Source organism: Homo sapiens, chromosome 7, assembly GCF_000001405.40.
Source record: "Homo sapiens chromosome 7, GRCh38.p14 Primary Assembly".
NCBI lineage: Eukaryota > Metazoa > Chordata > Mammalia > Primates > Hominidae > Homo > Homo sapiens.
Genome location: NC_000007.14, coordinates 83,131,293 through 83,144,326, shown reverse-complemented (window position 1 = coordinate 83,144,326; position 13,034 = coordinate 83,131,293). Strand labels below are relative to the sequence as shown.

The window sequence follows — 13,034 nt, the reverse complement described above, 5'->3', positions numbered from 1 at the left end:
GCCTCAGCCTCCTGAGTAGCTGGGATTACAGGCATGTGCCACCTCACTTGGCTAATTTTGTATTTTTAGTAGAGACAGGGTTTCACCATGTTGGTCAGGCTGGTCTTGAACTCCTGACCCCTGGTGATCTGCCCCGCTTAGCCTCCCAAAGTGTGCAGATTACAGGCATGAGCCTCTGCACCTGGCGATTTCATCTATTTTTAAAAGTATGTTTATTTCCTTCTTAAGTCAACATGCAACTAATTGGCTTAATCCTAGTGAGCGTCTGATTTAAAGATATGCTGCTTTCAGCATATAGAATGAGTTCATATTTAGACCTTTGATTCTTTTCACTAATATAATCTTTTGTTATTTCTAAATGAAATAATAAGAGGACAATGCAATAAACTATTCAGATACTTCCACAAACACTGTCTAATTGGAACCCTTGGATCACAAGCTGCAATATTTTGTGGTATATCTAGGTGTGTGTTAATCAACTGAGGTGTAAAAGTTTGAATTCACCACGAGAGGCAGTTTAGAAGTGTTAATGCATAATGCATGTAAGTTCAATTTACTGATTTGAGATCCTCCTCTCTTTGTGTAATTGTGATACGGTATGGATACACTTTCATGTCCGTGTACTGTAATTATTTTACAAATTGTGCTTTGGTGAAAGTGTCAGGTTTTTTTTTTTTTTTTTTTGGGCAATCCTGACAAACATATTAAAATATGCTTTTATCACTTGATCCTATTTGTAATGATTTAGAAATTTTATTGCTAGCATTCAGTTAGCATTATTGTGAAAAGAGTGCATATTTAGTTTATGTTTTACAAGGTTTGTTTATGGCTACTGAATTACATAGCAGAAATTGTAATCCATGCAATTTCAGAGAGGAGATGTCCATTCAATTTCTGGATGTATTATTTTAAAGAAAATTGTTTTATTAAGTTGCTGAGTATGCCATCACAGTTCTGAGGAATGCTAGTGTCTAGTTTTTAACCAAAATAAATTATGCATGAATATGAATAGCTAAAGATGTCAACTACAGTGAGTCATCTCAATCCAAACTGCTGTTGGGGAGTAACTGCCTCTGTCGGGGAGCTCATGTGGCTTGAGTAGTCCTTGAGTAGCACAAAACATAATCTGTTATCAAACTTTATCTCAATTTCATCTTCCTAATACTGATTTTTAAAACCTCTAGTCTGGTTATATTATATATTTTTGGTATTCAAAGTAATAGAAGGTCTTCAATAAGTATTTTAAAATAATATGATGAGAAATAGGAGAAAAGCCTTTTGCATAGTTTACCGTTAAATAATATCTAAAAATTACTTGGTATCCAACATAGAGGTAAAAGTAAGCATAAGTGTTTGCTCTTTTTTTTTTGAGATGGAGTCTTGCTATGTCTCCCAGGCTGGATTGCAGTGGCATGATCTCAACTCACTGCAACCTCCATCTCCTGGTTCAAGCGATACTGCTGCCTCAGCCTCCCGAGTAGCTGGGATTACAGGCACATGCCAGCATGCCGGGCTGATTTTTGTATTTTTAGTAGAGACGGGGTTTCACCATATTGGCCAGGCTGGTTTTGGACTCCTGACCTCAGGTGATCCGCCTGCTTTGGCCTCCCAAAGTGCTGGGATTACAGATGTGAGCCACCATGCCTGGCCATGTTTGCACTTTTTAAAAGTTTATATGAGGAGACAAGAGGAAACAATTGGAAAATACTGTAAATCACTACATATTTGAATTTAAATGCTGTGGTTCGGGGTATAATGGTACTGTAATAGTTGAAAAACAGCAGATGTTCATTGATGATGGAATAATACATGACAAAGGAGGAAAGGAAATTCAATGTGGATTGTAAAAGATGGATAGCATTTACATAAACATGAGAGGAGCCCAAAGTTGACTGGGAATCTCTTACTCAGGTAAGAGAGAATGGGAATACTGCTTTGATGGAGTAAATAGTCCATTTAGATGTTACGGTTTGCAGAAAAGTTTAGTTGTGATGAGTTTAAAAGTAAGAGCCCAACAGGTTTTATTGTACAAAGACAGGAAAATAGCACGATTGAAGAAAATTTATTTAACAGCTGATGTGAACAGTACAAAAAGGAGCAAATATAAATTCCTAACATTGTGTTTGTTCTTCTGATGTTTCATTATTCCAAGTACTACGGCTATGTAATTGAGCAGAGATCATATTATGAATATTATGTTGATGTGTTTAAATTTTCCAGTTAGAGTTACATAGAAGAGAGGATGTTGGTCATTATGCTTTCTGGAATTGTGTGTGTGTGTCGGGGGGAGGGGGGCAGGGCTTCCATTCTGTTTTGAATCTTAATAAATTAATAATAATTCTGAGCAGGAATATTCTTTAGTTTTGAAACCCCCAAATTTTATCAATTCACTTCATTGCTTAGATGTATCAAACTGATTATTTTGAGTCATTATTGAAGATACACTCTTAAAAATCAGAATATAATTTTTTGGTAATCAATAGCTTTGATACTTTATTTTGAAAAGGGCACCATTAATTGATACTCTTTATGTGAAGTTCACAATTAAACCTTCAAGTAGTACTTTTTGAAAAATCTAAATAGGGTGCTTATGATTATCTATCAAAGACTTTAGCCAATGAACTTGTATTACTATATTTGACACCTCTCATACATAACAAAGGCTTAACAAAATAAAACCACAAGGATTGAATTAAGCAGACAGCAGTGTTGGAATTATATGCAAATCCACATTAGAATACACAGTGGCCTCAGAATGAGCAGAAATCCTGTCTGATCATCTTCTTACCCCCATTTATATAGCACATTAAATCAGAAGACTAAAGGAACAAATACTTTTATGCCTTTCTTTTGTTCCTTTCCATAGAGATAATTGAGTTTAAGTAGCTCACTAAACAGTTGTATCTTCACACCTTGAATTTCATTTATGCACCTTCTGTAAGTAAGGCTATAGATAGGGAAAGCAAAGATGGCTATTTTTCCTTATTTGTCATATAAAGTCTGGAATTTAGGAAAAGTTCAGGCTTGACATCTATCTAAGACAGTTGGATTCTTCCCTTTTAATGTGTGCACATGGAACTAAGAGTTGTTTCAGGACACATTGATATCGTTGTAGGCTCTCCTGGTAGAGTTTATTCCGTTTCTCCCACCATTTGTCAAATGGATGTGGATTGTAGTATCATGTTGGAGAGGCAGTGCCACTTTTGACAGGGCATTTGGGAAGTTCTTTAGGAAACCTTTGTGGAAGCCATCTTCTGTGAATCAGGCATGGCTGCAGAGATTGTCTGCCTAACTTCTCCATCTTCTGTGAATCAGGCATGGGGAGGAAGTGATAAGGACTAAAATCATCTAAGATTTTCATTTATGGCTGTAGCAGATGAAAACCCAATCATGCAGAATGAAGGGACCAAGTGTATTATAGTTACTATGTGTAACTGGCAGCAAGTGTCTGAGGCAGGTATGTCTCTACTCAGTGTTGGAGATAAAGGTTTAATTTTGGAAGTAAAACAAGGCAGTGATTATCTCCAGGCAGGAAAAATATTTATGGCTAGCAGATGTTGTAATTGTGAGAGACTCTTCAATTTGAATCAAAATGTGAATAGATTTTCAGTGGCCTAAGGTACAAAGTAGGGTTCTATGGAGAATGGCATGCATCTTGAGAATGCTGTACAGATTGGCTAAACAGTGGGAGATTCACAGTAAACACAGAGCACAGTTAAATATTTTAAATTAATTTGTTTAATTCAAACTAGTTCAAAAAATGTTTGTGAACATAACTGATGCTTAAAGTGTCATATATACACTGGAGATTAATAGAAAGACTACCATGAGTAAATCTTTACAGTTTGTTGTTTTGAGTCTGGGGAGATACAGGCTTGGAAATAGCAGAATTACATAAATACTAGCATAAGAACACCAACAGAATTATATACTTTAAATTTCTTGTAAACATTTTTACTTTATTTCATAGATAAAGGCATTAAGGCATTGAGGTTTGAAGGGGAGTGGTTGTATTAAACAGGTTACTTTTGGTGAAAATGTGAAGTGTTTGAGAAATAATAATGGCCAAATGAGAGACAGTGGCTTTGGAAATGTGAGAGAACATTTCACAAGCAATCCAGACCCACTTCAGAATAAATCGGAATGTGGCAAAAATATTATGAGATTTTGAACTTGGGTAACTGAGAAAGCAGTGGAAGTATTACTATTCATTGCTCACCCTAAGTGCGCTGTGAAAGACCTGACTGACAGTAAAGATGGTTTGTGACGTTAATGCTGGGGCTGGTTATGGACTTTTTCATTTGGTCAATGTGTAGGAAAGATTTTTTTCTTTTTTCTTTTTCTTTTGTCTTTTTGTCAGTTGCATCGGGGCTTGCAAAAGCTGCTGTTTTCAATACAAGACTGTTAAGTGCTGAAATACAAATCATTTCTACCTTCAACAGATTTGGCCAGTATAATTAAATAAAAAGGAGGTGCTTTCTAAAAAATCCTAAGAGGATAAAAGCTTTTATATAGTGCTAGCCGTAGATAATGATTTCAACCCGTATTCTAGCAATGAGGGTGAATGTTGATGGATCAAATATCTTTCTGTGTTGTTTATCAAAGTTAAAATAAATGTGGTCATTTAAAGGACAAAAGATGAGGGGTTGGAGTCTGTTCAAGCAAAGGGTATATTAGGAGAAAAGCAGAATTCTCTCCCTGTGAAGGGACAGTGACTCCTATTTTCCACCTCATTTTTACTAACTCTCCTAACTATCTGCTTAGGTAGAGATATATCCATGTACATTTATAAACCACAGTGAATCATTTGATTTTGGAATAAAGATAGTATAAAATGTGTCCCAGTGTTGATATACATCATACATTAAATATGTCTGGCAGTGTTCTAATTTTACAGTTGTCCAAAGATAATGTTAGGGCATACTGGCTATGGATGAAGCTCCAATGTTCAGATTGCAAAGAAACTTAGAATTTTACTAATGAAACCAAATACATCCCAAGAAATTTTTCAGAAGAAAAAAAGAGAAACTAGTAGCAAAGTAAAGAATCACCACAATATCATCAGATTTTTTTTATATGTAGAATATTTATTCAGTTCTTTTTTCAAGTACACCTTGTCTTCATTCATTGTACTTTATTTTTTGTGAAGGTTTAAATTTATTTCTTCTATGTGTTTAGTGATATTTAAAATTTTTATTTAATCAAGTTTATCAGAAAGTTCTGTTAGAAAATATGACGAGGCTTTAATTCCGCCATCTATATTTTCCGCTATTATATAAAGATAATTGTTTTCTCTTTTTAAAACAACTTGAATTGGGATTTTATATCATAATTTTTTAATGTCTTTTTTTATTATACTTTAAGTTCTGGGATACATGTGCAGAACGTGCAGGTGTGTTACATAGATATACACGTGCCATGGTGGTTTGCTGCACCCACTAACCTGTTATCGACATTAGGTATTTCTCCTAATGCTATCACCCCCTATTTCCCCACCCCCCGAGAGGCCCCAGTGTGTGATGTTCTCCTCCCTGTGTCCATGTGTTCTCATTGTTCATCTCCCACTTATGGTATCTACCATAACCTTGAAATTGTCTTATGCATTCACTTGTTTGGTTGTTATATAGCCTCCATCAGGACAGGGATATTTGCTGCTGCTTCTTTTTTTTTTCTTTTTGAGACAGTCTTGCTCCGTCATCCAGGCTGGAGTGCTTCTCGGCTCAATGCAACCTCCACCTCCCAGGTTTAAGCGATTCTCCAACTTCAGCCTCCCAAATGGCTGGGACTGCAGGCATGCACCACTACACCTGGCTAATTTTTGTATTTGTAATAGAGACAATGTTTCACCATGTTGGCCAGGCTGGTCTCGAACTCCTGACCTCAGGAGATCTGCCCATGTTGGCCTTCCAAAGTGCTGGGATTACAGGCCTGAGCCACAGCGCCCGGCATGATTTTTGCTTCTTTTATTCAGTGGTATTTGCCTTATAGAAGGTGCTCAATAAATATTTGCATAAAAGAATTTTTTATTTTGAAACTACTTTGGTTATGACGCTTGTTAAAAAGAATAAAAGCAATTAATGGTAATGAAAATTACTAATCCTGGAAATTTATAATTTAAACTAGTTAATGTGGATACAGATCTTGCACGTAATAGGTATTTTATAGAAAAAAGTCAGTGACTATACATGTAAGAATTATGCCTTTAATTCTATTTTTCTTCTTTTGTCTGGCTGCATGATTATGAGGTGATCATGTGAGACTATGGAAGAAAATTAATGAGAAAAACACATAGTAGAACAGCAGAGTTGACATTGATAATAGGGGATATGAGTGAGTGGGTAGATGCATATTTATAGACATATTTCCTTCCATTAAGGAAAATGGAGTGAAAATTTTCTTACATTTTTGCCTGCCTTTTGTCATGGTACTTGCAGAAGTAGCAATTGTTTGATTGTTTTAGGACTTCAAATATTTATATGTATAAAGAGTTATTTATTTTGTGAAATGCTTCAAACATATAGAAAGGTTAAGACAATATAGTGAGTACAGAGGTGTATAATACCCATATTGCAAATAAATATAATGAATATCCATGGCCGGGCGTGGTGGCTCATGCCTGTGTAATCCCAGCACTTTGGGAAGCTGAGGTGGGCAGATCACGAGGTCAGGAGATGGAGACCATCCTGGCTAACACGGTGAAAACCTGTCTCTACTAAAAAATACCAAAAATCAGCCGGGCGTGGTGGTGGGCGCCTATAGTCCCAGCTACCCGGGAGGCTGAGGCAGGGGAATGGCGTGAACCTGGGAGGCAGAGCTTGCAGTGAGCCGAGATCGCACCACTGCACTCCAGCCTGGGCGACAGAGCGAGACTCCATCTCTAAATAAATGAATGAATGAATGAATGAATATCCATGTACCAACCACCCATGTTTAACAATATCATAATTTTACTTTGTGATTCAGTTTTTAAAACAGAAGTATAACGTTTCAGTTCAAACTGAAAATCTCATTTAACCTTCTCCAAACATAAGTTTACTTTCCGTGAGAGTGCAAAATAAGCCTTGTGATACTGGTACATGAGTTTAAATAATTTCAAAGAAGTTTTAAAATGTTTAGGAATGATTAATTCAATTTGTTTTTCAAAAAGAAACTGTTTGAAAATAGAAAATGTACTGTTTGCCAGCTGAACACTTTGCAATTTTGTACTGTGGGAAATTTGTCTGGTGCCTGTGCTCCTTCTATTTATATATATTGTTTCATTGTGCAGCATTCTGTACAAAGAATTTCAGTGCCAAATTATTTACATTGGTTACCTTGGGTGGAGAACGTTGGATCATGGCATAATTATATATTCTAAATTATTTTGGTAATATTTAAAATAATCTATTATAAGGAAACATTATTTTAGAATAATAAAAAAGGTAAATGTTAAACATAGGTACTTTTAAATTATCTTGTAAAATATGGTATCAAACACAACATCTTTTCACAATAGATGCAATGCAAAAAAGCATTTGCATATTGTGTATATATATGTATATCTCATATATATACAAATCTCTCTCATTCACATGCATACATGTACATGTATATATCACCAGTCAAATATGTACGTTACTTACTCATATTGCTTTTTCAAGTATCTTCATAAAATTTCTAAGGAAACCATGTTTTCCCTGTTAAATCATGCTATTTGTGATCATTTGAGGGAGTGCTATTATTTTTTATTTACTTTGTTAACAGAGAATATCCTATTTCTAACTCAGCATTGTTAACAATTTGTATTTTAAAATATTTGAATGTCACCTGGGAGGGGGGAGTAATGCTTTGCTAATTTTAAAAATTAGCAATGTGTTCATAATTTAGCAATCCTACTCTGGGCTGTATATCTTAAAATTGATTATGAGCCATCAATAGAGAAAATAACTCTCATAACTGATTTATGATATCTAACATGTTTTATTCCCAGAAACAGAAAACCATGTATAATCTAAGAAAAAACAAATTTTGTGAAAGCTTGTTAAAAAAACACATAAAACTTGCTTTTTCTTAAATTATACATGGTTTTCTATTTCTGGGGATAATCAAAATTTAAGTAAATCAAAGGCAAAGAATAACAATTACCATTAGAAGAAACACAAAACTATATTTTGATTTTTACTTTATATATTCCTTAATATAGGGTACTTTAGTCCCTGAGGAGACATATATATATAATTTTTTTTTTTTGAGACAGAGTCTCACTCTGTCACCCAGGTTGGAGTGCAATGGCGCGATCTCGGCTCACTGCAACCTCAGCCTCCTGGATTCAAGTGATTTTTTTGCCTCAGCCTCCTGAGTAACTGGGATTACAGGTGTACACCACCATGCCCAGCTAATTTTTGTATTTTAAGTAGAGATGGGGTTTCACTATGTTGGTCAGGCTTGTCTCAAACTCCTGACCTTGTGATCCACTCACCTCAGCCTCCCAATGTGCTGGGATTACAGGCATGAGCCACCACGCCTGGCAATTAATTATATTTTAATATCAATTTATTAAAATAATTTTCTCTATATTTTCTGCTTTGAATGATGAGAGACATAGTTTCAAATGGCAGTATGCATGTTTTGAAAACATTTTTGTGTTTTTACAGTATTGTCTCGGTGACCATTGTTTTATATTATTTGTAGGTAAAAGAGTGGCTCTGTTTGAACTGTCAAATGAAAAGAGCTCTAGGCGGGGATCTGGCTCCAGTTCCGTCATCACCCCAGCCCAAACTGAAGACTGCACCTGTTACCACTACATCAGCAGTGAGCAAATCATCCCCACAGCCACAGCAGACTTCCCCAAAGAAGGATGCTGCACCAAAACAGGATCTCTCCAAGGCACCTGAGCCTAAAAAGCCACCACCACTAGTGAAACAACCAACCCTTCATGGCTCTCCTTCAGCCAAGGCCAAGCAGCCCCCTGAGGCAGATTCTTTGTCCAAGCCAGCCCCTCCCAAAGAACCTTCTGTCCCATCTGAGCAGGACAAGGCCCCTGTTGCTGATGATAAACCAAAGCAGCCCAAGATGGTAAAGCCAACCACTGACCTTGTATCTTCATCATCAGCAACAACAAAACCTGATATTCCAAGCTCCAAAGTACAGTCACAAGCTGAAGAGAAAACAACCCCTCCTCTAAAAACAGACTCTGCCAAACCCTCACAGAGTTTTCCACCAACAGGGGAAAAAGTCAGCCCATTTGATTCTAAAGCCATACCTCGACCTGCATCAGATTCAAAAATTATTTCACATCCTGGTCCCAGTTCAGAGAGCAAAGGTCAAAAACAAGTTGACCCCGTACAAAAGAAGGAAGAACCCAAGAAAGCACAAACCAAAATGAGTCCTAAACCAGATGCCAAGCCAATGCCAAAAGGGTCACCAACACCCCCTGGCCCACGACCTACCGCTGGCCAAACTGTCCCCACACCTCAACAGTCCCCAAAGCCTCAGGAGCAGTCAAGGCGTTTCAGTCTGAATCTGGGAAGTATTACTGATGCCCCCAAATCACAGCCTACAACTCCTCAAGAGACCGTGACTGGGAAACTCTTTGGGTTTGGAGCATCAATCTTCAGCCAGGCATCAAATTTAATTTCCACTGCAGGCCAACCTGGACCTCATTCACAAAGTGGACCAGGGGCCCCAATGAAACAAGCCCCTGCCCCTTCACAGCCACCTACTTCACAAGGGCCACCCAAATCCACAGGTCAAGCACCACCAGCACCTGCAAAAAGTATACCTGTGAAAAAGGAAACAAAAGCCCCAGCAGCTGAAAAATTAGAGCCCAAAGCTGAACAAGCTCCAACAGTAAAAAGAACAGAAACAGAAAAAAAGCCACCACCTATTAAGGATAGCAAATCTTTAACAGCTGAGCCTCAAAAGGCTGTCCTTCCCACAAAACTGGAGAAATCGCCCAAACCAGAATCAACCTGTCCTCTCTGCAAAACTGAACTCAACATAGGTTCTAAGGATCCTCCTAACTTCAATACTTGCACTGAATGCAAGAATCAAGTGTGTAATCTCTGTGGATTTAACCCTACACCACATTTGACTGAGGTAAGTTATATATATATATATATATATATATTACATATGGAGGTGAGTCTGTGGGTTTATTTTGAAACATTTGGGTGGCCAAATATCTGAGCAAAAAATACATTTGTGGTGAAGAAAATAAATTGATAATCTTAGAAGTTTCAATTACTTATTACCAGCTTACCTTCTTACTAAGAGTTCATGTTATTTGTACTTTCCTGGGTTAATGTTCCACAAGTAAGAAGATGAAATAAGTTAAATGAACATCTTAATTATTAAATTAATATAACAATGAGCCAATCATTCATGAAATAAAGAAAAAAATAATAGCTTTTGAGGACTATTTTCACGTGTAAACTCCAGATAAAAGGTTTTAATATTTTCACATGTAAACTCCAGATAAAAGGTTTTAATATTTTATTCCCATCTCTAATCCTTCCAGTCTCTGTAATACATTAATAAAAGAAGTTTGTTTGGTTGAATATGCATAAACACCATAAAATCTACTATGTTAAGAACAGTTAAAAACTGTTAAGAACTTTGTGTAAGTTAAAAATTTTGCCTATTAGAAAATAGTGGTTCAAATATATTATATTTAGGCTTTTTATAATTCTGTTTGAAATATTATTGGGCATCTGTATGATATGGCACTTTACTAGGAGCTGTGGAAAGAAAGAAAGATATATGAATTTCTATAACTAACATGAAGGGTTTTTTAAAGGGATGATAAGAATACTTTTTCTGCAATGTAAATGACTAAAAAGCAGACGACGAATTTCTAATATAGTTATAAAAGAATGAATTTATTAACATTAATAGCATGTTAGGGCTATTAGAATATTTAAATCATGGGAGACTAGAGGGTTAAACAATTACTGCTGTCTTAAATAAGTAACAACAATGTTTTAATAAACAGTCTGGGAATTAATCTGAATAATTGTTCCAAGGTTTCATACAAACCAAAAATACTTAAGAATAATTTCACTCCAATGTCCTTGATTTTGTTATTCATTATGATGAAAAAATTGAATAGATTTTAGCATTTATATAAAATAAGCTTTAGAGTTTGTTTTTGGTGGTGTTCTTGAGTTAAATATTTTTTTAAAAAATAAACCATAGAAAAATTTCATTTTACTTTAAAAAGACATTTGTTTGCTTTGATCTAATTAACACTGTATGAAAATGTTGTTGCTACAAGTTTAAGCAGATTTTTTTTCCTCTTTAGCTGTGATGAATAATTTTAACTAAGAGTCATCTTAAAGGGACATAAATTTTGGTTTCTCTTAGGACTTCATGAGTGGTAACAACTGTCATTATTAGTTACAGTGTTTTGGATTCAATGTAAAAGTAAAACCAAAAACAAACCTTAAAAAAAACACTTTTAGAAGAGCAGTTTTTGGTTGTCAATTCATGAGAGAAAATTTTTCCCCAATACAATTGTATTTATTTTATATATTAAACAAAATTGTACCTTGTAAGGAGGATCCTTATAGTATCAACACAATGAAGTTATGAAGCAAACTGCATTTCTAAAAACAAAACTATACTTTTTGCATTTAAAGTATATTTTTACACACTTAAAAATGGGTGTGTAGTATGAGTTGAGCACTATAACTTAAAATTTTACATATATGTGTATGGATATGCATACATATGTATGTGTGCATCTGAATTATAGTAATTATTAGAATTCTGTCAATATTTGGAAGTCTAATGAGAGTTCCTTGGGTAGAAAGACAATACACCTTTCAGGGAAGTCTTTGATTTTCTGTGTGTTGGCAAATTATATTTTGAAAGTGGTAATTTGGAAAGGAGATTTCTTGAATGAAGCAGAGAATTACAAAGGACATGTGTGGAATTTCAGTACTTTGAATAGTTTGAAAATCTAAATTGTCTCAAGTATTTAGACAGGTTAGATGAGGTCATACTTCAAATGTGAGTGATCGTATTAGATAATCATTCATTGTTCAAATTATTTTGCTCTGTGGCAGTTTCTTTGAATTTGGAAGATTAGGTTTCAGAAGGGAAGAAGATCTAACAAAAGCAACTAGTATTCCTGGCTTACCTTGACTATGCTAATGTACATGAAGTTTTCAGTTAGTATAAGATCTTGGTGACCTCTGGTTTCTAGGTAAAGTTCACTTGGCATCAGGGGAATGAATAAAGGTTAGCTGAGTTATTACATGTTCAGGTAGTCTCTATCATTACTCCATAGGACTTTGGAAAAATGGCAAAAGGAGTTAGTTGAAAAGAATGGCATGTGTTTGCATATGTGTGTATATATGCATATATATACCTTTGTACACATATACATATATAAACATATATACATATACCCTTATGTATAGATGTATATGTATCCAGCAAACTGTAAATACTATTAACAGGTGTAATTCATGGTACAATGTCAGTGTTCCTACTAATAAATCTTTCTTCATTTCTCTCAGGAGTTAGGAAAGCATCTCCTCCCAGATCTTTGTTGTGTGTCTATGTTTTCCTTATTCTGCTTGTAATATGTTTCTTGTGACCTAATATTTTCTGCTTGGCTGGTTAGTACCGTACTTCCATGCCAGTCTCAGAGGGGACATTCTGAAAATACTCAGATTTTAGGCCTGAAGTCCAAATAAATGGTATTCCCTCAAGAAAAGATTCAATAATTTCATTTATTTTCTTATGAAGTATGTCCAACTCTCTAATACAAGCTTCTGCTTCTCCTATACTGGTTGCTGTGAGACAGGACATTTTTCCTGCTGGTGCCACCCTGGCCCCCTCTCCCTTTGGCTATTCTGTTTCTCCGGTTGTGAGAAGAGCTCGTCATATTTTGTCATTGGTTGGGAAGCTGTAGATGGTTTCCCTCTTTCTCCTTCATTAATCAAACACACCTGTCGCTAAGGTTGTTTCCTGTCTCATACATAACACCTCCCACTGTACCTGAGGAGTGCCAACGGCTGCCTGCAGGCCCTGGGGTGCAGCCAGAC

General features: G+C 35.8%; 1 protein-coding gene across 7 annotated transcripts in view; it reads left to right on the top strand.

The window, feature by feature from the left end:
• PCLO (piccolo presynaptic cytomatrix protein) overlaps positions 1–13,034 on the top strand; it is a 408,873-nt gene that overhangs the window by 18,558 nt on the left and 377,281 nt on the right. For all 7 annotated transcript variants that reach the window (XM_017012006.3, XM_047420211.1, NM_033026.6 and 4 more), the window contains exon 3: positions 8,671–10,077. In XM_017012006.3, coding sequence (XP_016867495.1) covers positions 8,671–10,077 — 1,407 coding nt within the window. The remainder of the gene's footprint in view (positions 1–8,670; positions 10,078–13,034) is intronic.